This window comes from Homo sapiens, chromosome 10, assembly GCF_000001405.40.
Source record: "Homo sapiens chromosome 10, GRCh38.p14 Primary Assembly".
NCBI classification, from domain to species: domain Eukaryota; kingdom Metazoa; phylum Chordata; class Mammalia; order Primates; family Hominidae; genus Homo; species Homo sapiens.
The window spans coordinates 116,815,998-116,842,024 of NC_000010.11; the positions used below are offsets into that span (position 1 = coordinate 116,815,998).

The 26,027-nt window shown below is 43.5% G+C and overlaps 1 protein-coding gene and 1 non-coding gene across 4 annotated transcripts in view, besides 4 other annotated features; both read right to left on the reverse strand.

The window, feature by feature from the left end:
- Window positions 1–26,027, reverse strand: part of HSPA12A (heat shock protein family A (Hsp70) member 12A) — a 179,556-nt gene that overhangs the window by 144,806 nt on the left and 8,723 nt on the right. For 2 of the 3 annotated variants that reach the window (XM_005269673.6, NM_001330164.2), the window contains exon 2: window positions 18,938–19,025. In XM_005269673.6, coding sequence (XP_005269730.1) covers window positions 18,938–19,025 — 88 coding nt within the window. Of the gene's footprint in view, window positions 1–18,937; window positions 19,026–19,200; window positions 19,261–26,027 lie in introns of all 3 variants that reach the window. The other variant, XM_011539579.3, reaches the window with a different exon arrangement.
- Window positions 11,491–11,571, reverse strand: MIR9851 (microRNA 9851). The gene has a single exon (NR_162126.1). It is a non-coding gene; the product is annotated as a microRNA 9851 (primary transcript).
- Window positions 19,939–20,574: an enhancer, noted in NCBI's record as "OCT4-NANOG-H3K27ac hESC enhancer chr10:118595447-118596082 (GRCh37/hg19 assembly coordinates)". NCBI's record gives its function as "activates a minimal SCP1, AML or CMV promoter by ChIP-STARR-seq in naive and primed H9 embryonic stem cells {active_cell/tissue: H9 hESC(naive and primed)}" and the evidence as "EXISTENCE:reporter gene assay evidence [ECO:0000049][PMID:30033119]".
- Window positions 20,121–20,415: an enhancer, noted in NCBI's record as "tiled region #690; K562 Activating non-DNase unmatched - State 21:Repr". NCBI's record gives its function as "activates a minimal TATA promoter and a strong SV40 promoter by Sharpr-MPRA in K562 cells {active_cell/tissue: K562}" and the evidence as "EXISTENCE:reporter gene assay evidence [ECO:0000049][PMID:27701403]".
- Window positions 20,121–20,415: a silencer, noted in NCBI's record as "tiled region #690; HepG2 Repressive non-DNase unmatched - State 10:DNaseD". NCBI's record gives its function as "represses a minimal TATA promoter and a strong SV40 promoter by Sharpr-MPRA in HepG2 cells {active_cell/tissue: HepG2}" and the evidence as "EXISTENCE:reporter gene assay evidence [ECO:0000049][PMID:27701403]".
- Window positions 22,366–22,465: an enhancer, noted in NCBI's record as "active region_4094". NCBI's record gives its function as "activates an Ori minimal core promoter by ATAC-STARR-seq in GM12878 lymphoblastoid cells {active_cell/tissue: GM12878}" and the evidence as "EXISTENCE:reporter gene assay evidence [ECO:0000049][PMID:35858748]".

The window sequence follows — 26,027 nt, forward strand, 5'->3', positions numbered from 1 at the left end:
AGCTGTGCAGGTGCATTACCTCCATCAAAGCCCACGCATCCTCTCTGGTGGGTGCTACTTCCTCATCTTATGGGAGAGGAAACTGAGGCTTGGAGAAGGAAAGGAACTCGCATGCTGGCCGCAGAGAGGAGTGAGTGGCATACCAGAACTGGAGTCTCAGCCCTCACGCAAAGACCACTGGCTTACTCAGCCTGATTACTCAGCAATCGCTGACCTTCCAGCTCCAAATAAGCCATTCTTTCTGCCACATTCATATCATCTTGCCCCTGACAGACGAGTGACTATATAAAACATTCCCGAAACCATTGTTCTTCCTGCTCAGCTGCCATCCCCAGAGGCAGAGGACACCTGGCCTGGTCTCTGGCACCCCGCATACGGGGCAGAGAATGTTGGCCATGTGCCAGGCAATGATGTTCCAAATTACAGTTTGATCAATGCACTCTTCACCTTTTCTCCGAGGCCTGGAGTTTTTAGCAGCTCTAACTCCAAACTTCACAGCACCCAAATCATGTCACTGAAGGAGCGAGCAGAGAAGGCGCCATGTGGCTCACGCACCTGACTTCCTAACCTTAAGCTGGTGAGACACACAGCTCCTGAAAGCTTAACCGGCGCCGTCCTGCTCACGTAAAACAGCCCCGACATCCAATTCCGATGGTTGCAGCTGCGTGGTCTCCCTGAAAATCTGCCACTCATGATTTTTTTAAATGGGGTTTTTCCTTCTTTTCAGGGTGACAAAAGTCTTCCTAATGAGAAATACCAGAGGGTTAAAATTGCCTGGAGCCCTCGCCAGTTTCTGGTACTATGGTTTAAAAGATGACTTTTTATGCTCTGGGTTACAAAACGCTTCCAACAACACCTTTGCTCAGTATTGGATTGAGGCTAAGTTTATTTTTCTGGTGGGGAAATCAATCCTTGAGCTGTGTTAAAACAATCAGCAGCTCCAGTCATGACATCACGATTCAAATCGTTCTTCCTTCTTATGTATCAACTATGCTGTCGAATGTGGAAACATGAAATCTACAGTTTGCTGGAATCATCTGGATTGTTTAAACTGTATTTCTTAGGCAGAAAGAAAGAATCATTCTTGCAACCTATACCCCTTCCCCCACCCCACCATGCAGATTTACTTCATATTTATTATTTTTTTGTTACAATTAACAAAAGGAGAAACCCATTTGCTGTTTTTTTTCCCGGGGATTTAGAACAGAAACTTCTACCGCCAGTGGCTTGTGATTCCACCCTCCACCCCTCGCTCTCTAGAAGTTTCTGAGGTCTAATTTTTTCTAACAGAGGCTTTGTCTGTAGTGAATGAACCCTGGCTACAAAGTCGGCTTAATTAAAACAATGGCATTCCAGAGACAATAGGGAACAAGGTGCCGGCTTCTGTGCTGGGTGCTAACCCTCGGCACAGCCTTCTGCGGTGACCTTAGTGGAGCTACTCCTGATGCCGTCAAGTTCAGGGACAGGCTGGTCTTCTATTCGCTCGGTTCAAGGCTCTGGCAGAGGAAATCCAGTGTGTGTGTGTGGGTGGGGGTGGGGGGGATGGCATATTCATACCTACACATAATGATCTTCTATTTAAGATTTCTCTGTGCTCCACCACCATAGCGATGGGTGTCAGGCTGCCAATAGAATGAAGAGAAGTGGAGAATCGCGGCCATTGTTAAAATATTTCAGGCTTGTCACCCAAAGTCCCCCAAAAAAACCCTCTGCCTCAAGAATGTGGGTCAGTCAAGATAATCTGCAAATATGAAGAATGTGGGTCAGTCAAGATAATCTGCAAACATGAAGAATGTGGGTCAGTCAAGATAAGCTGCAAACATGAAGATGATACAAGACCATCTCACTGCTTTCCGTCCGGATGCTGAGAGCAGCAGCAGCAGTTCGGTTGCCCTGGTCAGACACCTGGCAGACATCCTGGATCATTCGCCACCTCCAATTAGGCGCCGATTCCTGTTACCTGACCTTACAATGACACTCTCCCCTCCAGCTTCCTCTTCCTCTCCAGGGTCTCTGCCCTGAGTTAGGAGTGATCGTTTCTCACCTGGGCAACTGCATCAGCCTCCTGTCTGGCTTCCCTGCCTCTCACCTTTCCCTGGCCACACACTGCCAGTAGGGGCCTCTCCAACTAGGAAGACATCTGACCACCTCACCCTCTCCTTGAGAACTTGGATGGTTCTCCCTGAGCTACAGAATCAAGTCTCAATGCCTCAACCTGGCATATGAGCTTGGTCACAATCAGGGACCTACGAGCCTTGGTAGGTTGTCTCTCTTGGCCCCTGTAAGATCATGCTCCAGCCCAGGGAGGTAGACTTTGGGCCTGCCCCACAGCCAGACCTACCCTGTGGTGGTGTCCCAGGTCACCCACTGGTTCTCTTCCCTGCTTTACCCAGCTGCTTGATGCCAGCCATAATGGCAGTGATGTATGGAAGGGGGACACAGTTGCATCATAGGTTGTCTCTCTTGGCCCCTGTAGGATTGTGCCCCAGCCCAGCGAGGTAGACTCTGGGCCCGCCCCATAGTCAGATCGTGGTGTCCCAGGTCACCCACTGGTTCTTTTCCCTGCTCTGCTCAGCTGCTTGATGCAAACTGTAATGGCAGTGACGTATGGAAGGGGGACACAGTTACATCTCCATGTGCTGTCCCCACCAAAGCAAAGGCCACAAGCACCTCCCCACAACACACTGACACAGTGGTCTGATGTCCCAGAGGGAAAAATGTAACTGTCAGAGATAAGAAATGTTAGGACAAGGGACATGGGAGTATGTGATCCCTAAATCATGGTTCTGTTTCCATCAGTGAGTGTAAAAATCAAAATCTGTCTTGGTAAGAATTTTAAATAAAAGGAAAATGGTGAGAGATTTACCCCCAACACATTGCAGTGTGTCTCCAGGAGCAATCATCGCACCTAAGGGCACCCTTCCTGCTTCCAGGCTTGTACCTTGACCTTCTCTGTTAACCCTTTGCAGCCCCTGTCACTCTCTCTCGCTGGATTCCTGTCTCTCTGGGTCTGATGTTCCCATGTGTCTGTCTCCATTGGTCCCATTCTCCCTGAGACAGATGCTCCACAAGGGAAACCCTTGACTTTTCCTCTTCTTCACAAGCAGCACCCCCAAGCCCTGTGTCCCGTGACACCCTGCTTATTCACTGGTCCCAAAATCACCTGCATTTTCCCAGTTCTGAGATTCAGCCTTTGCTTTCCTTTCTGCCCCAAATGCCCATCATCCAGTTGAGAAGCCCTTGTGCCCCTCTCATCTGGATGGCTCCACTTCTTAGATTCCCTGGGTCCCCTGACCCCTACCCACAACAGACAGGGCAGAACAGACAATTCCCCTTGCACTTTACATAGGAGGGTTCCGTGGTCTGAGTCTTTGTGTCCCTGCAAAATTCCTATGTTGAAATCTAATTCCCAGTGTGCTTGTATTAAGAGGTGGGGCCTTTGAGAGGTGACTGGGTCATGAAGGTGGAGTCTTTGTGAATGGGATTAGTGCCCTTATAAAAGAGAGCTGACGGAGCTTGTTCATGTGAGGACACACAGAAGGCACCACCTATGAGGAACGAGCCCTCACCAGACACCAAATCAGTTGGTGTCTTGATTTTGGACTTCCCAGCCTCCAGAACTGTGAGCAATAAATGTCTGTTGTTTGTAAATTACTCAGCCTAAGGTATTTTGTTGCAGCAGCCTCAACAGGCTATGATAGGTGGGTAAGACTGATTCAGAGAATGATGGCAACGTGGGAAAATCGTTATTACTGTAGGATATGTATAATGGAAATGCAACTTCTAAGGGAATCTGTATGTAGCCATACATGTTTGTAAACAACTTATAGGATTTTTTGGTTTTTTGTTTGTTTTTTGAGACAGGGCTGCCCAGGCTGGAGTGCAGTGGCATAAACTCGGCTTACTGCAGCCTCAACTTCCTGGGCTCAAGCAATCCTCCCACCTCAGCCTCCTGAGTAGCTGGGACTACAGGCACATGCCACCATGCCTAATTTTTGTATTTTTTTGTAAAGATGGGGTTTCACCATGTTGCCCAGCCTGATCTCAAACTCCCAGGCTCAAGCAATTCACCCACCTGGCCTCCCAAAGTGCTGGGATTACCAGCGTGAGTCACTGTGCCCAGCCAATTTATGTGTTTTTAGTTGGTAAAAATGGGTTGTACTGAGTCAGTACCATTAGAATTAGACAAATATGACATGATCAGCAAAATATTTTAAAAAATTAAAAATCAAGGAAAAATAAGAGACAAACATCTTGAACAGCAACATACTTGTTGACGTGAGAGTATCAAAGGGAAAGAGATTAATTTTGCCATTTTTAGGGACCATGATGGGGTGGGAGGACAGGCGTGGAGTTTGAGATCTGTGCAGGAGACAGTCACTGTGATCACCTGGTCAGGGATGCGGTTACACTGATCCTGTGGGAGGAAGCCAGGAGTGTTACCTGCCTGCTGTTTCCACCAATGGTATGGTCACATGACCATGACTTTGCATCAGTTCTCAGCCCTCATCAGACGTGGCCAGTCACCACCCTCTCCTCTTCATTTGCTTTCCAGGACACCACATCCTCCTGCTTGTCTTGTTCATTCCCGGCACAGCATTTCAGACTTTTTCACTGGTTGCACCTCATTGCTGTGGCTCTGAATGTGACAATGCCCCAGGCTTTAGTCCTCAGACCTCTCATTCCCATCTACACTCTTTCCTTGGGGGATCTCTTCCGCTTTCTTGGTGTTCAGTACCAACTATATGCTAATGAGTCCACGTTGACATTTCTAGTCGGAGCTCACCATATCTCCACTTGCAGTCTAACAGGTAACTCTAATAAACAGACCCCCAAACACCTGATCTCCAAATCAGCAGGTTCCACCCCAAACCCACTCCTCCTCCTCCAGTTGCTGGCACATCATATTGGTGACTCCACCCTTCAAAATGCCAGCATCATCCTTACTCCTCTCTTTTTCACAACTATATCCAGTCCCCAGAAATCCTATGGCCTCCCCCTGCACCCCTGCAAAATCTGTCTGCTTCTCACCCCTCCACCTTCTCCTCTAAATTCACATCTGTTCCATCTCCACCTACATCATCATAATTGCTGCCTCTCCTCTTGCCACCCCACTTCCTACCAAAGTCTATTCCCAACATGACCTTTGGGATCTTTCAAAAATATAAGTACAGAATGTAAGATCGTGTCACTCTCCCTCTCAAGACCCTGGCTTCCCACCTCAGAGGAGAAGCTGGAGTCCTTGCCAGGCCCTATAAGGCCCTACGTGGCCTCATCTCCCAGCTAAGTGGCCTCCTTGCTCTAACACACAAGGCACCTCCTACCTCAGGACCTTAGCACAGCCCTTCCTTCGGCCTGGGATGCTCCTCCATTGGACAGCCACATGGCTTGATGACCCACCTTCCCTCAGGCTGCTGCTCAGATGCCACCTTCTCAGGAGGCCTCCCCAGAACCCCTATTTTAAATTCCAACCTCATTTCTAGCCCATCATTCTTTATTCCCCATCCAGCTTTATTTTTTCTCTATACCATTTATCATTTAACATATTCAGATTTGCACACATACACACATACATACATTAGAATGGAAGCCCCATGAGGGCAGGGATTTGTACTTTTATCCAGTGCTGCATAATGTGTAGAACTGTGCTCAGCATATGATAGATGTGAAATCATTATCTGTTGACTGGTTTGTGGCTCCACGCTGATCCACCCGTGTCACTTGCCATCCTGACTGCATGAGAGGAAAGCCTGGACCTCAGGGAGTGGCACGGCAAGTCACCATCTACCACAGTGGGCTGGACTCACCTGTCAACCTTCCCTGTCAGATGGGAGCTCCCACAGTGTAGGGACTATGCCCTTTACAGCTCAGAAACACCAGAACCTGCCATTGGGTCTGAAAAAACAGGAGTAGGTGCTTGTTGAATTAATGTAATCCAGATAATCCAGGCCTAAGAGGAATCCGAATTAAATGAGATAATATGAAACCACAAATGTGATTTAAAAGACAGCTTTGCGTGCTATGCCTATCTTTTGGTGTTCGCTAAGGCATTTACATCACTTTGTATAGAGCAGTAGTATTTCACTTTGTGTAAAGTAAGTAGTACACTTGGGTTTATCTGAGGACATGGGATGTGGATAACTGAGTTTCTTCTCACTTCCACACTTGCTCAAGTCTTTGTCCATACGGGAACTGTCTCTCTCCATTACCAGTGGAGGAAGCACAGGACATGCCACTATAAGCTTTGGGTTCTAGTCTTCCCTTCACACTTACCAGTCTTATGTCTGACCTTCCCTTCGGTGATCCTCAGCTTCTCCATCTGAGGTTAATTCTCTCATGATAAGAGAACAACTGGCTGATGAAAACAATTCAGGAATGGCTTGTTAGAGGGGATTTGTGGCTTATGAACATACAGAAAGCAGGAATCACCAGGACGCCCTGTGGGTTCACAGAGAAAATACTCTTTCAAGAGAATCTTGTTTCCTTCCTTGATAGGATTAAGAGACCGGTAGAAATGAGGGAGATCAAGAGTTTATGAATTCAGTAGGGCATTTGATAAGTTCAATGGGGTTGACATGAATTTGGTGCATGGACCATTGGATGGCTTGGGGACTGGTTGGATACGGTTCTTCAGAGGCTACAATTTAATGTTCTCAGAGAGAGGTTCTGAATTCAGGACTTCAAGCCTCTATCCTTTGCAAAGTCCCATTGGACATTTTTATCACTGGCTTGAATGAAAATAAAGAGGCCATGTTTATTGCATTCGTGGATAGGCTGGGAACAAAGATGTCATGACTCAGGGTCAGAATCAGCATCCAAATCACTCTCACTCCTAGACTAGAAGCAATGGCCTGGACCCAAGAATATGCAATGGAAAGGGAAAGGAGCTATTTCTGGCACCCAAGAGCTACTTGCCCAGGTACAGAATAAGGAAGGCATGGCCTAGCAGCAGACGACTTAAAAAGGTGTGAGGGGCTTTTGTTGACATGAGTCAATGGTGTGCTGTGTGTGCCAACCACCCAACCCCAACTCACCTCTTCCACAAAAAGCTTAACTTTGTCTGAGGTTAGAGTACAGAATCATATCCACAAGTTTGAAGTGAACATCCACTGTCTTCAGTGCTAATCTGATGGTTCCAGGGACCACGTTTTAAAAGGGATGTGAAATGAACAATCCAAAAATAAAATTAAGAAAACAATTCCCTTTACAATAGCATCACAAGAATAAAATATTTAGGAATGCATTTAACAAAAGCAGTGAAAAATTTATTCTCTGAAAACTATAAAACACTGTTGAAAGACATTAAAGAAGACATAGGTAATCCAGGTTCATGGATGAGAAGATTTTTAATACCATTAAAATGGCAATGCCCCCCCAAATGATCTACAGTCTCAACATGATCCCTGCATTCACAAAGAAATGCAAGGGACACAGAATAAACAAAACAATTTTGAAAAAGAAGAACAAAGTTGGAGGACTCACACTTTCTAATTTCAAAACTCAATACAAAACCACAGTGATCAAGATAGTGTGGTACTTGTATAGGGCTAGACAGACAGATCAATGGAATAGAATTTCAGAGTCCAGAAATAAACCCTCACATGTATAGTCAATTGCTTTTTGACAAGGGGGTGAAGACAATTTAGTGGGGAAATAATAGTCTTTTCACTAATGGTGCTGGGACAACTGGATATCATGTAAAACAAGGAAGGTGAACCCCTACATCACACCATATACAAAAATGAATTCTAAATGCACAAAAAGCCGAAACGTTAAGAGGTAAAACCATAAAACTCTTATGAGAGGAAAGAAGAAAATACAGATATAAGTCTTTGTGGCCTTATGTTAGCAATGGCTTCTTAGATATGCCACCAAAACCACATGCAACAAGAAAAATATGGCTAAACTGGACTTAATAAAAATTAAAAACCTTCATGCTTTGAAGGACATCATCAAGAAGGTGAAAAGGCAACACACAGAATGGGAAAAAATATTTGCAAATAATACATCTGATAAGGGAGTTATATCTAAAATATATAAAGAACTCTTACAAATCAATAATAAAAAGACATAACCCAATTTAAAAATGGACAAAGAACCTGAACAGATATATCTACAAAGAAGATGTATACAAATGTCCACTAAGTATCTGAAAAGATGCCAGCATCATAAGGTATAAGTGAAATGCCAATCAAAACACAATGAAATGCCACTTCACACCCAGAAGGATGACTATAATCAAAAAGACAGATAATGCAAAGTGTTGGAAATGATGTGGAGAAATAAGAAGCCTCATACACTGTTGGTAGGAATACAAAATGTGTACCCACTGTGGAAAACAGTTTAGCAGTTCCTCAAAAGGTTAAATATAGAGTTACCATATGCCCTAGCAATTCCATTCCTAAGATATACCCAAGAGAAGCGAAAAAATACATCCACACACAAACTGGTCCATATCAACATTATTCATAATAGCCCCAAAATGAAAACAACCCAAACATCCATCAACTGACTAATGGACAAACAAACCATGTTCTATCCATACAATGGAATATTATCATTATCCAGCAATGAAAAGTGAAGGACTGGTTGGGCTCAGTGGCTCACGCCTGTAATCCCACCACTTAGTGTTTTGTTTGTTTGTTTGTTTATTTTGAGATGGAGTCTTGCTCTGTCACCCAGGCTGGAGTGCAGTCGCATGATCTCGGCTCACTGCAGGCTCCGCCTGCCGGTTCAAGCAATTCTCCTGCCTCAGCCTCCTGAGTAGCTGGGACTATAGATGCGCACCGCCACACCCGGCTAATTTTTGTATTTTTAGTAGAGATGGGGTTTCACCATGTTGGCCAGGATGGTCTTGATCTCCTGAACTTGTGATCTGCCTGCCTCAGCCTCCCAAAGTGCTGGGATTACAGGCATAAGCCACAGTACCCGGCTAATCCCAGCACTTTGGAAGGCCGAGGCAGGCAGATCATTTGAGCCTAGGAGTTTGAGATCAGCCCGGGCAACATGGCAAAACCCCATCTCTAGAAGAAATACAAAAATTAACCGGGTGTGGTGGTGCACGCCTGTAGTCCTAGCTACTGGGGGGCTGTGGTGGGGGAATCACTTGGGCCTGGGAGGCCGAAGCTGCAGCGAGCTGTGATTGCACCACTCTACTCTAGTCTGGGTGGCAGGGTGAGACCTTGTCTCAAAAAAAAAAAAAATAAGTAAATTTAAAAAAAAAATGAAGTGGCCGGGCGTGGTGGCTTATGCCTGTAATCCCAGCACCTTGGGAGGCCTAGATGGGAGGATCACTTGAGCTCAGGAGTTCAAGACCAGCCTGGCCAACATGGTGAAACCCCATCTCTACTAAAAATACAAAAAATTACCAGGGCATGGTGGCTCGTGCCTGTAGTCTCAGCTACTTGGGAGGCTGAGGCAGGAGAACTGCTTGAACCTGGGAGGCAGAGGTTGCAGTGAGACTAGATGGTGCTACTGCACTCCAGCCTGGGTGACAGAGTGAGACTCTGTCTCAAAAACAAACAAACAAACAAAGTACTGATACATGCTACAACATGGATGAACCTTAAAAACATTATGCTAAACGAAAGAAGCAGTTAAACAAAAGAATGCATCCTGTATGATTCCATTTATAAAAAATGCCCAGAACAGGTGTATCTATAGTGACCAAAAGCAACTAATGGTTTCCCAGGGCTGGGATTGGTGGGGGAAACGAGGAGTGGCTGCTGCTAATGGGTATAAGGGTTTCTTTTTGGGGTGATGAAAATGTTCTAAAATTGATCATGGTGATGGTTGCACAATTCTGTGATATATTAAAAATCATTGAATTATACACTTTGAGTGAATTGTACTGCATGTGGATTATAGCTCAATAAAATTGTTATCGAAAAAGAAGGATACGAACAAACTGGATCTCAGAATGAAAACAGGCTGTGAAACCACATCCTAGGCAGAAAAGCTGAAGAAGGCAGGAATACAACAGAAAGGCTTCCGGGGAGAAGCCACCTACAGATGTGTGAAGGGCTGTCACATGGAAAGGGAATTCCATTCTCTGTGTGGCCCCGAAGTCGACTCTGCTCCTCTGTCTGGACCGCACATGCCCCACCCCCACACACACCCAATAACTCCTATGCACCTTCACAGCTCAGCTTTCCCGTCACCTCCCAGGGAAGCCTCCCCCGCCTCCCTCCACCTTCATCTCTGCTGTCCACCTTCACAGCACCAAGTTCCTTGCCTTCATCTCACTTCCATCTGTCGTGACATATTTATTTAATTATTGGATGACAGTCTGAGAACCCTGATAAATTACCAGCTCCTTCAAGGGAGCCATTGGCTTTCACTCACCAGAACTTATCAATGTGCCTGGCAGACAAGAGGTGCTTAATAAGTATTTCTTGAATGAACGAATGAATGAATAATGAATGAAACGTAAAAGCCAGAAACTACAAGCAGATCCTCTAAGAAAGAAGTTTCTGAGAGTCTGAGCCATCTACAGATGCGTGAGTGTCACCGCCCCTGCCTGCATGGGAACTGATGGACGACACGGGTGTCACAGAAGTACCAAAGGGAAGGGCAAATGGGGTTGCTTTTCTTTCTGTTTTAAGATCTCACAAACAGTTCACATACACTGGAAAATTCCTAAAAAGCAGATAAATAATCAAATCAAATCACCCATAATTTCTCTACTGTGTGATACCCCCAGTTAATGTGTAGCCTTCTGGAGTTGGGCTATGTAGCATTTCCTTATATGGACAGAAAATGCTTGAATGAATGGGGGACTATGTGGCTCTTTGTACATTTCACAGCCTTTAATCATAACTCACACTTCTTGGATGTTTAATCTGTGCCAGGCACCATGTTAAACACTTGACATGCATTTGATTCTCCTAAAACCCAATGAGGCGGATACTTAGTATTCACATTTCATATTACAGATGGGGAAACTGGGTATTAGAGGAATCACGTCATTTGCTCGAGGTCATAGACTAGTAAGTGGCAAGCCCGATTCAGATCCCCGCAATCTGACTCCAGAAGCCAGCAGGGGTTCCGCAGATGTTGGCTGAATGAATCACTGAATTAATGAATGTGTGCTCAGCCACCCACACACACTGGGGAAAAACTGAGCTGCGCTTAACCAGCTAGTTGGCTGTTGTCTTTCAAATGCTCTAGAATATCATTAATACCTTCAGGGGTCACAATATCCTAAGGTTAAAAAAGGGACATTTTGACAACATAAGGAGCTTTCTTTGGCTCCAAATTCCCCCACCAATGGAGAGGTCTTCCTCAAGGGGGAGCCTCAAGCACCTCCTTGGATAAGGCTCCCCAAGGTCTCCCGTGTCCAGGCTTCTGTCACCCATGGAGTTGTCCAGAGAGCTCGCCCTTGCTGCGAGCCACTCCCAGCCACTGCCTCCACACCTACTACAGCCGATTGGCACCTGTAGCCACTGTGATGCTGCTGCATCCACTTTGGAGGTGTCGGTGCTACCTCTCCTGCTGGTACAGACACCGCCAGTGCTGGTGCCACCACCACCACGTGAGTGTCACCAACACTGCCAGCGCCAGGCTCACCGCCACTGCCATGTCACTGGAGCCACCAACTCACAACACCGCAGGGCCAGCGCAGTGGTGGGGAAGAGTGAAGCTCTGGGTGTTGTTTGCTCAAGTCCCACTCAGTTTGAAGGCAGATGTGGGACAAACTGGGTGACAAGACGTCATGAAGTGCTCCGAACTGCCCCTCTTCTCCAAATAAAGCTTCATTCTGGACTATTTGGGGATGTCCAAGGGACAGGACTTAGTCCCTCAGGTAAACAGATTCCTGGATAGCCCCACTCATGTTCCCAAGACGCCTCTAAATTCTCTGCGGCAGACGGTGGAAGCCAAGTTGCGAGCTGCTGTCCGCCCAACCCTTCTCCTGCTGCATATAGATATGACCAATTGTGTTCCTTTGTTCTGCGACTGGGAAGCTTACAGGCATTTGTAAATTTTAAATTCAGTAAGACCTCGTGGTATGCATTTGTGATCCAATTTTACCCCTGACTTTGCCTTAGTTTCTTTTCAGTTCTGTTTCTCAAATGTATTGTTCTTATTATGTTGTTATACCTCTGCCTGAAAGTCCCTTTTGAAATAAGACAGGCATTTATAGAATAAAAGGAAGAGCTGAAATAAGAACTTATGGATACATACTTTAAAAAGTTCATTTCCAAATGTGGTATGTTTCATTAGCGGTTTTTCTCTGCAGACTTCAAACAAGCAGGAAATCTTCACCAAATGACTTGGCAGTTCCAGGTGAAAAACAGAACTCTCAAAAAGCTTTACTGCATGTGAATTACAGAATGACTGTTCACCTCCTGGCCTGTGGTAGACAGGCAGGAAGGACATGGCTGCGAGGCATGGCCCTGGCAAAGCTGGCATTCAGGACCCCAACCCTTCCTACCTCTCCATCTCCTTCAGCCCAGACTCCTTTCTTAAAGGGCACCCAGCTTCCTGCACTGTCCTGGGTAGGCCATAACAGATGAAGTCATGTTAAGATTTAAAACTGTAACTCGATGCATGCTTCACAGTTAGTTGCCTTGCAGAACCCCAAAGGGAGGACCACCTATGTAATTTGCTGGGCCCAGCATGAAACAAAAATACAGGACCCCTCGTTCAAGGTATTAAGAATTTCAAGATGGTGACAGCGGAGCATTAAACCACGTGCAGGGCCTTGTGTGACTGCACAGGTCACAAGTCCAAGCTGGTCCTGCATCAAGGACACACAAAGGCACACTTTAGAAAATTACTTTTATGTACACAACCATGAATTCTGATTTTTATGGAAGAATGACAAATAGTTGCAAATATTTAAAAAACAACACAAAATTTCAACCACATTCCATTCCATTCTCGCAGAAACACCAGTTGCCTCAGCTCTGCGATTTGTATCACTTTGGTGCAAAAGTGTGAGAAACAATGTTGTAATTTTTACCGTGTTTCCATCCAAGCCTCCACATGCTGTCAGAATGTTGCATTTTTAAGAGAGAAGTTTGGAAGGGGTGATCAGATTGCATATGCCAGATATATTTTGGCTGTGTCCCCACCCAAATCTCACCTTGAATTGTAATAACCCCCACGTGTCAAGGGCAGGGCCAGGTGGAGATAATTGAATCATGGGGGCAGTTTCCCCCATACTGTTCCCATGGTAGTGAATAAGTCTCATGAGATCTGACAGTTTTATAAATGGGAGTTTCCCTGCACAAGCTCTCTTTCCTGCCGCCACATAAAAAGTCCCTTTGCTCTTCCTTCATCTTCCACCATGATTGTGAGGCCTCCCCAGCCATGTGGAAATGTGAGTCCATTAAACCTCTTTCCTTTATAAATTACCCAGTCTTTTGTATGTCTTTATTAGCAGCGCGAGAACAGACTAATGGATACCACAGCAAAGCAGGAAGGGGTAAGACAGCCATGGGCATAAGCGTTTCTCAAAGGATGGGCAGGATTTGGCAAGACCAAGAGGAAGGGCTCTGGGAAGGGGAGCCAAGGCGCAGAGAGAGGAACAAGGAGCAGAACCGGTGAGGGGGCAGGAAGAGGGTCACCCAACAGGCCAGGTGGGGCGGGCTCACCAAGAGCCACTGAGTTACTTCAGAACAATACATAAGAACCCTTTTAAAGTTCTAGAATCTGATTTTAAAACAGAGATTTTGTGTTCATATAGGGTAAAATAAATGTGACTCACTCAATGTCAAATGGGCACTTGTATATAAATGACACATGAACTTTTTCCCTCTACAAGCAACAGCATAACAGAATCCAAAGGATACACAGGAGGACTGACAGCTTGAATTCTCTTAGCAAACCGTCATCCAGCTCTCCCAATCTCGTGGCTGCCTCTGAGCTCTAGCAGAGCCTTTTGGGTTTGTGCTAAGGCCGTTGTCAGTGTTGGGTCGTTAGTCAGTCTTACCCTAAACATACTGCCCGGCACATTCCGGGAGGGCGTTATGGGCACTGGTGGGCACTCCTGGCAAAGAACGAAACTCGTGTTCACCACCATTAACAAGCTCAGCCTCCACAGACTGAATGATGGGGAATCACACAAGAACAAAGTAGGACTTGTCATCTTCCTACCTGAGACAATACACATGGAAAAACTCAAGAACACTATTCTAGCCAGGCATCCTCCTCCTCTAATGGGCTTTCTGACTTCAATGTACTATGATACACCATGGCAGAACTTCAAGAGCTTAGAGGTTTGTCTTTAGAAACATGTAGGCCAAGATACATGCTGTCATCTACTTTACAAGGAATACAGATTAACAGAGAATTTAAAGGCAGGGAAACCATGTAACACACGTATATTCCTCCAGACTGCAACTGATTCTTTCTCCGCCTGCCTCTCTTGCTGTCTTTATACAGAAAATATATGTGAATTTATGCACATATATACATATTGTTAATTTATATGCATAGATGTGTATATGTGTATGTATATGCTACACATGTATATTAAATATGCATATATGGGCTGGTTGCGGTGGCTCACACCTATAATCCCACCACTTTGGGAGCAAAGTTGGGTGGATTACTCGAGCCTAGGAGTTTGAGAACCGGGCAACATGGTGAAACCCCATCTCTACAAAAAAAAATTCAAAAATTAGCCAGATGTGGTGGTGCATGCCTGTAGTCCCACCTACTTGGGAGGCTGAGCTGGGAGGATCCCTCGAGCCTGGGAGGTCATGGCTGCAGTGAGCCGTGATCATACCACTGCACTCCAGCATGGGAGACAGAGCAAGACCCTGTCTCAAAAAATAAATGTATATATGTACATATATACAATATACATATAAAAGCCTATCTAAATATGCATATATTATAGGTATATGCATATATATATAAAGAGCAAGAGGGGCAGGGAGAGGATATGTACATATATACATATATATGGTCTGTAGCTTAGAAGCAGCTAGCAGCAGACTGTCCTGCATATAATAGCTTAGTTGTGAGGCAGGCTATATCATCTAGGTTTGTGGAAGTACATTCTATGATGTTCACACAATGATGAAATTGCCTAATAATGCATTTCTCAGAACATATCCCTGTCATAAAGCAATGCATGACTGTATGTATAATAGTGGCCTCTTCATAGGGTGGCAGGGCTTAAATGATATAACAAGTGAAAGCACTTACACTTACTGGAACCAAAAGGCACTCAATGAAAGGAAACCATCATTGTTACCACTATTGTTGTCATTGACAAGAACATCAAGTTCGACAGTGGGGGACACAAAAGAGAAAAAGGTCAATCTAACTTGGGAGGTGTCAGGAGAAGCTTTGTGGAGGTGATGACATGGGGTTGAATCTTTCCTAATAGCATGTGTTTGGCAGGGGAACAAAAGGAAGAAAAGGCATTTATTCCAAGGATAAGAAAGGTTTGTTCAAAGGCCCTGTGGCATGGAGCACCCTACCGTGTCCGGAGGACGGTCAGCAGATCAGCACAACCAGAGTGAGGGTTCAAGGTCAAAGAGAAGCCAGAGCCAGATCTCGAAGGGCCACCAAAAAGCCCTTAACAATGGAATAACAAAATCAAATTGTCCTTTGAGAAGGGTTAGGTAATATTCAACTGAACATAATTTCACCTTTCCGGGGTCCCCATCGCGATGATCAGCGATCATGAATACTACTGGAGTCTATCAATGCCACAAAACAGAAAACCTGTAATTCACATGTTCTTTCCTCTGTTCACAAGTCTTCAAAAGGTTTTTGTTTTAGTGACTAATTGGCTTATTTTTCCACAATGATTTAGTTGCTGAGGAAGGTTTTCTTTACCACTAATCTCCTCCAGAATGATTTTAAAATACTCATCTTCCTAACCACGAGGAAAATCTTAAGTGGTCACTTTTTAGCACTCAAAAGGGCTGCATGACAACTGTTCACCCTCAAAGTGTGCAAACCGCAATCGCAGCTGTGCAGGTCAGGACTCCGAGTCGGAGGTGAGTGTGCGAGGCATAGACAAGATAGGCGTCAGAACCAGAAATAGAAGAGATATGAGAGCTCAGAATAAAAGCAGTGTGAGTAAACAACAGTGTACAGGAGCAGCAAGAAAGACAAAGAAGGTCACCAAAGAGGAAAAAGAACGTGTGATACGGTCTCAAGGGGACGGAAAACAGGATAGGACAAAAATGCAAAAGGGTTGATTTTGTTTTTTTGGTTTTTTTTTGAGACAGAGTCTCGCTCTATTGCCAGGCTGGAGTGCAGTGACATGATCTTGGTTCACTACAACCTCCGCCTCCCCAGTTCAAGCGATTCTCCTGCCTCAGCCTCCCAACTAGCTGGGACTACAAGCACGTGCCACCACACCCAGCTAATTTTTGTACTTTTAGTAGAGACGAGGTTTCACCACGTTGGCCAGGATGGTCTCAATCTCTTGACCTCGTGATCCGCCCACCTCAGCCTCCCAACATGCTGGGATTACAGGCATGAGCCACCGTGCCTGGCTGCAAAGGGTCTTTTCAGGGAAGTCAGTGGCAGAAGAGGTCTGAGAAAGTTTGGGACAGTCAACTAAACTGTTTTGAATACCTCTAGATCAATTTGCTCAGTCATCATTCAGGAGGTCAGCCTATTGGTCAATTCTATTAATTCTCCTTTTTCAAATATGTCCTGTGCACCTTCCATGCCAGGTGCTGAAGATTCAGAGCTGAATTAGCGTCCAGTCTCTGTCTTCACTCAGTAGCTCACCTGCTATCAGGCCGAAAAAATAACTTGGCACGCAGAACAGCGCATGGTCTCCAACCTTCAAGAATTCATGACAGCAGGGAGAGAATTCACTGCTATTGAGCACCTGATATATGCCAGGTATTGTCCTATGTGTGCTTATTTATGCCATCTTACTCAATCTAACCTTCCTTTGATAAAATCAACAGACATCAGCAATCTGTTTTGCTGGCCCCCATTTTCACTGTTCCATATTAGAGAAAACAGAGGCAGCGGGTAGGAAAGAGGTCATGAGACAAGGAAAGGAAGCTGAAAAACCGAAGTTTCAGATGCCCTTTGTTTTAGACACCCCTCATTTCCAGAACTGTCACCTAAGGATTGGGTCTGAGATTTTCATAAAACAAACATTGCTTTTTCCAGTTCACTTTTTCCCTTTAGTTTAACACAACACTGGCCGCAAATGCCCATGGATTAATTCTGTCATTCCTTGGCTAACAGGCCCATAACATGTTCCGTCTGTTCACGTGCGTTTGTGTGTGCTCAAGTGCTGGTGCGTCCAATTCAGACACAACTAGGGAGTACCGTCATCCCTGCAGGAACTGCCAGTTCGTCAAATCCAAATCCTGGACACAGATGTCCTGTCATTGCCATAGGACTGCTTCTTTGTGTGGTAGCTGCTGCAGCCTGGGGGAGCTGAGAATTAATGGTATTTTGCTTAAGTCGTTAAAAACAAAACAAAACAAAAAAACAAGATAATCATGCCAACCCATAATGTGGAACTACAACTTAGCAAGCATTTTATGGTCAACTGAGAAGTTCAAAGAACATGATAGAAAGAGTTAAAGCAAGCATGAAAAAGAGCAAAATCTCAACCAATCACTCTTTGTTGCTCAGACAATAATTTTTCTCCCGAAAAACCAATTCAGATCAATAAATTTATTTATTGAGCACCTACGATGTGACAGGCACTGTCTATCCCACTGAGTATTACAGAATTTGTTTTCACTATGGTCTTTTATTCTTTCCAATATTTAAAGCATTGATCGGGATGCTTTCATGGTTTTCTCCTTAAGCAATTTTATTATTACGTCTTCAGAAGTTTAACACTTTCAGGGCTACACAGAGTTTTCTGGGTTTTTGTTTTGTTTTATTTCCTTCTTACTGTTGTTTTTCACCTAAAGCATTCCCTTTCTTTTCCTACTCTCTGCTTTTTACGGAGAAAAAAATCTAGCATCTGGGGTCTGAGACCACTTGAAATGTCTGGGCTGGGGATTGCTAATGGCCTCCCAGAGATAACCCAAATTGCTGATTTAGCGAAGCCCATTCTTGACCTTGACACAAGACAAGACAGGCAAAGGGGAAGGACTTGGGAGGCAGCAGTAAAAGAAAAAGGATCATAGAAGCGCTCAGATCTCGCCAGGCCCCTCCCCCATTCAGCAAACACCTGGCTGAGTTGGAAAACATGACCAGCCCAACCTTCCTATTGGCTGCAATTGAAGCTGTCAGTTCTCGGCTTGTCACCGGTTGCACTGGGAGGCCCCAGGCAGCCACAAGAGCCCTAATTAGGCAGAAATGACACTTCTACAACTGACCTGCCAGGACCTTTGGCAAACCATTTAACATCATTAGTTAACATGTTTTAAAAGTGTGAATGTAAATGAACAGCCAGTGGCTTTCAATGGAGTTTGTCGGTGGCATCTCCCCCTCCCTTTCTCAGTCTTTCTCTTTTTACATGAATAGTCCACTTGTTTTCTCCAGAATTGGAGGGAGGCACCAAAGAAGAAGGAGGAAGAGGACCAGTCCTCTGAGAGGAGAGACATGTTAAGGCAAAAATAAGTCCAGAAGAGCGAGAGGCCATCTCTTCCTGCCTTTGTATGGGCCCTCACAGAGCCAATCTCCCAGGGCCACCAGAGCAGGGCAGTAAGACAGCACGAGGCCGGTAGGCTACCCGGATGCTAGGTCCACAATCTGTGCGTGTGAGTGTGGCCAGCGATGATTCTAGGCTTTGGATAGGTGGGAAACGAATTTGTTTCCTGACTCAAGGGTGCCTCTGAAATTCTCTCAAACCTCTTCCCCCTTGCTGGTGTTCTGAACAAGCAGGTTTTGCAGCAGTGGCTTGGCAAACATCTTACACGTGCAGAAGTTTAAACGTCCCAGTTTTAAACATACCTAGTCCCTCTCGACAGGAATGAGGTTCTGGGGCAGTTATTTCAGATGCCAGTTTGATACTTACACACATTAGTTAATTTCCTACCTGAAGCGGCTATTTCCCACCTTGAATCACACTTCATTTTGTTCTTTGCTTTACACCCACAGAATCCGTACACGCCAACACTCTCCATCTGTAGGAGGGGGGAAAAGAGTTGCACTGTGAAAATGTCGATTTGTTTCCATGTTGCTCTTAAGTCGCGTACTCGTGCTGGTTGACGGTTTGTAAGAGGCAGCACCCGGCAGGAGGGAAGCAAAGATTTAGGTGGGCGCAGAGGAGCTGGGTCCCTGGCAGGCCTGTACACTTACCACCTACTTGTTGTGTGGCCTTGGGCAAGGTGCTTAGCCCTGAGTCTCAGATGTTTTCATCTGCAAGACAGAGATAATGCCTTACTACATCAAGAAAGAAAAAATAGATGGAAAATTACAAAAACCAGGAAGCGTTGTGTGCACGTAAGGAGTCGTGGAGAAACAAGAGCTGCCAAAACTGAGGAACGAGGCCCGGTTCTTTCTCCATTTACCTTGGAGAGATGACGCCGAGACTCTGTCCTCTGGTTCCCCAAGGCACATTTGACAGAGCCAATGTACCACCAGCCCATCCCAGGGTACTCCTCGTCCTCTGCCTCCACTCCTGCTTATTCTTAAAAGGGCTGTAGATATTACAAAGACAAGCGACTGGGTGTAAAACAAATTCCTAGAACCCACAGTTACATTAGCTATTCATTCCCTCTGCTGGCTCCTAAACAGTACAAGGGGAAAAGCATATCTTGTTCACCTGTGGATTTCTAGAAGCCCCACGAACACTGGTGGGTACACAGTAGATGCACAATACATGTTTACTAGTTGGAATGCAAGAATTCAGCTTCCACACTTGTGCCGAAAGCAGTCAGGAGTGTGTGCTTTATAAAGGTAGCACAGATCCTAAATTTGGAGAGCTTTACTCATCCCTGAATTAAAGATGAGTAAAATCAAGCCGGCGGTGTGTGGTGGTGAATGCCTGTGAGTAGTCACGAGAGAGGAGCGAAAGAAAACAATCTTAGTTTGGGGCAGAAAGAGAGTGAAAATGCTGGAAAATGTCCTTAATAACAGTAAATGGGGAAAGAGAAAACGGCTCATCATGATGGGGCATTTAGTGCTTTTAAGCTAAATACCTCAGCATATTAAGCAAATAGAGAAAAGCCAGCTAGAAGATGTCAGCAAATTGAACCGAACAGTGCTCAGAAAGCCCATAGGAGGTGTCTGTTTTTGACCCCTTTTCCCATCACATGCCTGGGCCCAGGCTGGTTGTTTAGTGTTGCCTCTCCTCTCCAGCTGCGGAGCTTATTGAAAAGCTCTTGCTCCCTGCCTGGCTTTGGCACATTTTCTGCAGGTGCCTCCTACTGTGGCCACAATGGGCTGCTAGGGAGGTTTAGACCTGTCAACAGCTACAGGGGAGGGGGTGGCAGTGGTGGAGGGAGCATAGTCATTGTCTTAAAGGGCCAGTGACATTGTGTGCCGCCATGGAGCCTGCAGCACTGGCACCTGCTAATGAGATGAACCCTTTCTCCCACTCTCTTTCTCTCTTTAATGATTTAACTAGATCGCTTTGGTTCCTTTCTGGAAGGGGAATTGCTCCATTGATCATATAAAGTAATTGCCTGTAAAACATTGCTCTGCAACAACTACTACTTCCCTGGCTGAAAATGTCACAGCAATTGAAAAGCTCTTAGCCCCGTTCAAGAATGAGGTTGCAGAAGAGAACAGTCTTTGCATACATCCCCAAGTATTTGTGTGTTCCTGGAGTTACAAATTTTTGGTGTGACTGGTGGATTTTTAAGACACAGAATTTCTTCCCTGCTATATGGTATGATTTTAGTGTAGAATTGTGGTAAACGAACCGAACACACACACACACACACACACACACACACACACAAACTCCTTCAACCCTAAAATTACATCTATTCGTTCAGAGAAAGAAATTCTTTTCTTCATCACCCATGCCATTCTTCTCTGAGAGGCCATGAATTTGGAGGGACACCCATATAGGGTCCAGTGTGATTTGGGGAAGGGTCTTCGTTTCTCCTTACAGAAGTATACACTATCTTTATCTAGGAGGTAGCAGGGGCCTTGGTTTGGGAAGGAGGAATTGATGCCTTAATTGTTTAGGATTTGCTGATTTTTCAGACCTGTCACTTGGCGGCGGCAGTGACACACTGTGGGAACGGGGACCACACACTTAAGGAGTTTTCATAAATAGCTTTATTAAATAGTCATTGCCACACCAATGTGAAGGAGTAATTTACCTGGGGATAAATCACTTTGTCACAGACATGAACCTGCCTACAAAATAAAAAACTCTTAGTGATGGTTTCATTTTCCTCCGACAGGTGAAAGTGTAAGTTTATATCTAAATCAGAAAGAAACCTTTTTCAATTCAGTTGGTGGGAAGGGCCACTTACGACACGCCATGCTGCCCGCTACCAATCTGGGAACAAAGCTCAGGTGAATCACCTGTCATCAGGATAAGCCATGGATATGGTTCTTCTAGCTGATGAAGTAAAGGCAGTAGACATGCCTATTATCACACTTTTATAAAAAGGCAAAAACATCTGCCTACTTACTGACAAAGAGCACAGAGAACTGAGCTATAAAAAAGACCATCTATGGCAATAAATCTGAAAAAGCCGTAGAACTTTGTGCAGCTAAACCCTCTGAAAGGTCATGGTACAACTTCCATAGCTGAACATATGTGCAGCATTTTTTTTCCTTAGAATTTAGAGACTGGGGATTTTAGATTTTAAAATACTTTAATACTATCAGAATATACATGATATCCAGCTAGGGCAATAACACATACTATACCAAAATATACTGTATATAATAAAAGGTATTTTCCTACCTATAATAAAAGGTATTTTTATCTACCTATTTAGTAAAAAGAATGCAAAAAAAAAAAATTCTTTAAATCTAAGCCCATTAAATAAACTGATTCCCGAATATGAAGAATTATGTTGATAGCCTTTTAAACAGGAATTTAAATGTGTTTCTATTTGCTCATACTGACAGGGTTTTTCTTTTTAATTTGCCTGTAACACATATAATTAGATGTTTAATTTGATAATATAGAACTAAATAAAATATGAAACTAATAACCCCAAAAGTTCTGCCTGGCTCTGAGTCCCTTAAAAAAAAACAAGATTTATATACTCTCATGGGAAATAGATAGTAAGCGGTAAATTACTCCACACGACAATTTCTAGTAGCTTTGCCTATTTGATCGGTGGTCTAGGCACAGGAAAGTGGGTTGAATTAAGCCCCTGCATCCAAGAAGAGAAGAGCTTGGACTATCGAGGCTGGAAACAGAAACCCCATTCGTACAGAGCAACACAGCAAGGCAGGGTGGGATGGGAGGGCCCGGGAGGTGGCATTCTGTGTGGGAGGGAGGCAGGGGTTGCTGGCCTGCTGCTGGTCCTCAGGCTGAGTGTCCTCTGCATGAATGCCCAGAGTGAGAGTGTGTGTGGACAGTTTTAACACCGTTTCACCATATTTCTGGAGGGGGGGAAAACAGAACATTTGAAGTGGAGAAAAACAAGCCAAACACACACATCATCAGTGGAATGAATGTCAAATCTGACAACAGCCACAGGACTGGTTTCACTTCTGCATGCCCCTTTTTGGTTTATTTGTACTTGATGCAAGAGGTCTGCCTAGAATTCCAAAGTTCAGAGGCAACAAAATTATGCTTTACATCTTATCACATGGATCTCCATAGCACATTTTAAACCATCTGACTTCACAAGGTACAATTAAACCTTTAGCTAAGTTTGTCTTAACTTCATACAAAAGAGGGTTTGTAAAGATGCTGGGGCTTGCTTTAAAAAAATAAAAGACTGCATTTTTAAAAATGTTGCCTTATTTCTGTGTCAAGGCACAGCCGGTTAAATGCACAGAGAGATGAGAATTCTAACCCGGGCTAATATGTGATTGTTCTGAGCAGTAACTGCTAAATTCTTCATAATTCAGGTTTGTCAACTTATTTATGTAGTGAGAGCCACACACATTTCAACCTGAGCACCTTATGTACTTAGTAAATCCGTGTGTTTACATTTGTCACCAATATGTATTTCATCCACTAAAAGTTAACACACAGAAGTGTAAAGATCCTTTATACTTTAATAAAAAGCTAACAGTCAGGCTAGCGGGTAACAGGGCCTGTTGCAATGTTTGTATTCAATACATAAGGTGAATATACTTTCACAGTTGGAAAACGACATCAATCTGAACTTTGTTTTATAGCTCCTGAATTAATATAGAGCTACTGGCTAAGGAAAGAAACAGATTTTACTATTTTATGCCTTTGTGGAATGCACAAGATCATTCTAAAGGAACATTTCAACCGCAGTGTTTAGGATCAAGTCAGACATTACTGAAGCTGCATGAGCACAGACTTCGCTCCCCTCCCCCACGAAGACCCCGGCTCTTCTTTGCTGTTTCCTACAATTTTCTTAGAATTACGTGCTGCAAAGTCTCCTCAAAAGTCACAAAGCACTAAGTAGCCAAAGGAGTCTTCCCATACCCTTGTTTTTCTCAGTTTGACAGGGATCACAGCTCCATTCCTCCAGTAATATCCATCCAAAGTTACAGCTTATTTAAAAATACCCCATTGAAAGAGATGCACTTTAGTAATCAACACAAGTGTGACTGATTCCAAAGGACTTCGTAGATGCCTACCGTAAAAAAAAAAAAAAAAAAAAAAAAAACCTAAAATCTCACCTACACATTTTGTCAAAAATAGATGAGACAGGATGGCATGACGTGTATAATCTTAAAGTCTCAATTTGAAAGCAAGGTGAGTCTATCATAAACAAAAACATAGCAATCATATGATCATAAACATAGTAACTGCATGATCGTAAACATAGTAATCATATGGACTGATCCTGATGTGGCAGCTGAGCCTTAACCCCAGAGGGTACAGACGTGTGTGCAATGTTTGATATACCAGCCAGGGTCTAGTTTTGTGCCAAGAAGGTTAGTGCCTTTTTTTTTTTCTTTAGTATTGGGGCTTGAAAGAATGTGAAAGGCCCAAGGCATGCCCCTAGTGAATTGGGGTTGAACTCAAGACAGCATACATACGGACGGGAAAGCCAGGTCTTTTTAGTTAAAAACAAAACACATGGTGATTTTTATTTTGTTCTCATATAATAAATAATATTTGGAGATAAAGTCTCTTGCAAATATAAATTTAAAAGAGTTCCTGTTTTGAGTTGATTTTGACTGCATATCCTGTTTTGCAGACTTACAATTATCTCTGAAAAAGACAACTAATTTTCCAACATTCGGTTTATAAGAAGTATACAAAAAATTACTAATTGAAGAGATCATGTTTTTCTTGCAAATATTAATTTCTTGGTTTAGAATTTAAAATGGCTGTATTTTCAGTAAAGTAAGAAATGATGATACACAGGAAAACATTCATTCTAAAGCTTACACATTGATAAATATACATTTTATTTATTTCAAATATCACTCTTTAAAATAAAAGTTATAGTCCTTTGTTCTTACCCCAAAAAAACATAGCCTTTGATTTTGTATTTGATTCTGTATTCTCAAAATCAGCACAGAAACTCTATTTTTCCTGTCAGCTTAGCTATAAAGAAAAGAAAGCATTTATGATTAGGCAACCAAAGTTCAGGTCAGGTCCATGGTTAATAGGAATCTCAACAAGTGTTGGCTGAGAATAATTTTACATCAAAAAGAAATTTGGCACTAGTTCCCTCAAATGGGAACTCTGCTTTTAACATGTTAGAGTCCGAAAATCCTTTAGGAGGTACAGAGATCTAAGCTTAATTCAGACCGAATTCCTGCCTTGTGTGTTTCACTGTCTTCTCCATTTTCAAGTTTCCCGAAAGTTTGTAAGACTAGATAGAGTACAAATATTTGGTTGTGACCTTTGGGAAGGATGACTACCTAGGATTGCTCAGTGATGTTTTAAATCAATCAGTTGTTCATTGATCAACTCCAATTTTCACAACAATCTAACAGTAGCTGTTTAACAAGTGCAGCTCCCTCAGGGCACTTTGGTAGCTCCGGTAAAGGCAGTGGAATAGAGTGAAGCCTGAGTTACTCACGCTGCTTCCCTTGGCCGTATCTCTAGGCACACACACACACAAATGGTGATGAGGGCAGACACCCAGATACTTCTAATCCAAACCTCACTTTTGCCTCAATTATTTATTTCAAGTGAAAGTAATTTCATACGACCTTCTCCTAATACACACAACTCTTTATTCCATTCTGAGTACAACTGTGTGTTAGATACTCCCGCACTTTCCTATTCTTTCGTATCCCCCAACTGTAGCAGTTAAAATTGTAGCTCAGGCCAAAGACAAACATCATTAATAACATAATAAAAGCATTTCCATTTTAGAAATCATATTTCAGTCTTTGATCTTTACTAAACTTTTCTCCTTCAAGTATTAATGGAAACGTTTTTCTGAGAAACAGATGCTGATCATCAGTAATTATACTTCTGTAATCTCTACCTAAGGTGTTGAATGCACAATCACAAAATATAATAATTACATTATTTAATTAAAAACAGGATTAATCATACATTATCCCTTGTCAGCATTCAACCCAATTCAATCTATTTTTTAACATCTGGTATAGAAATTTAATCTAACATATTAGAGATTCATTCACATACATCACCTTAAATAATTGTGGAAGTACATACAGCTTCAATTATAATAATTTATAGATGTTTGTCATATACAAAAGAGATGCAGTTAAATCAATACAGGTAAATTTGCCTAAAATGATTTTATTTGCTAAAAAAAATACTGAGAATTTACTCCTCCAGAATACAGTTCTTTGAAAAACAGTTCTCATTCTTCATTTGTGACTGTTTTTTCTTTTTTTTTTAATACTCAAAGAACTGTAGTTCTAAAACTTCTTAGGACAAAATAGCTGCCAACTCTAAAAGACAAAATTATGGCAGAAAAAGAGAAAACAACACCATAATGACAAAAAAAAATTCTACACTTTGCCAATAATTAACGTAAAGTCAAGGCCTAAGTTGACAACTTAATTTTTTAAATTCCCCAAATAACTTTTGAAGGTTTAATATTACCATAAGATTCATAACCAGG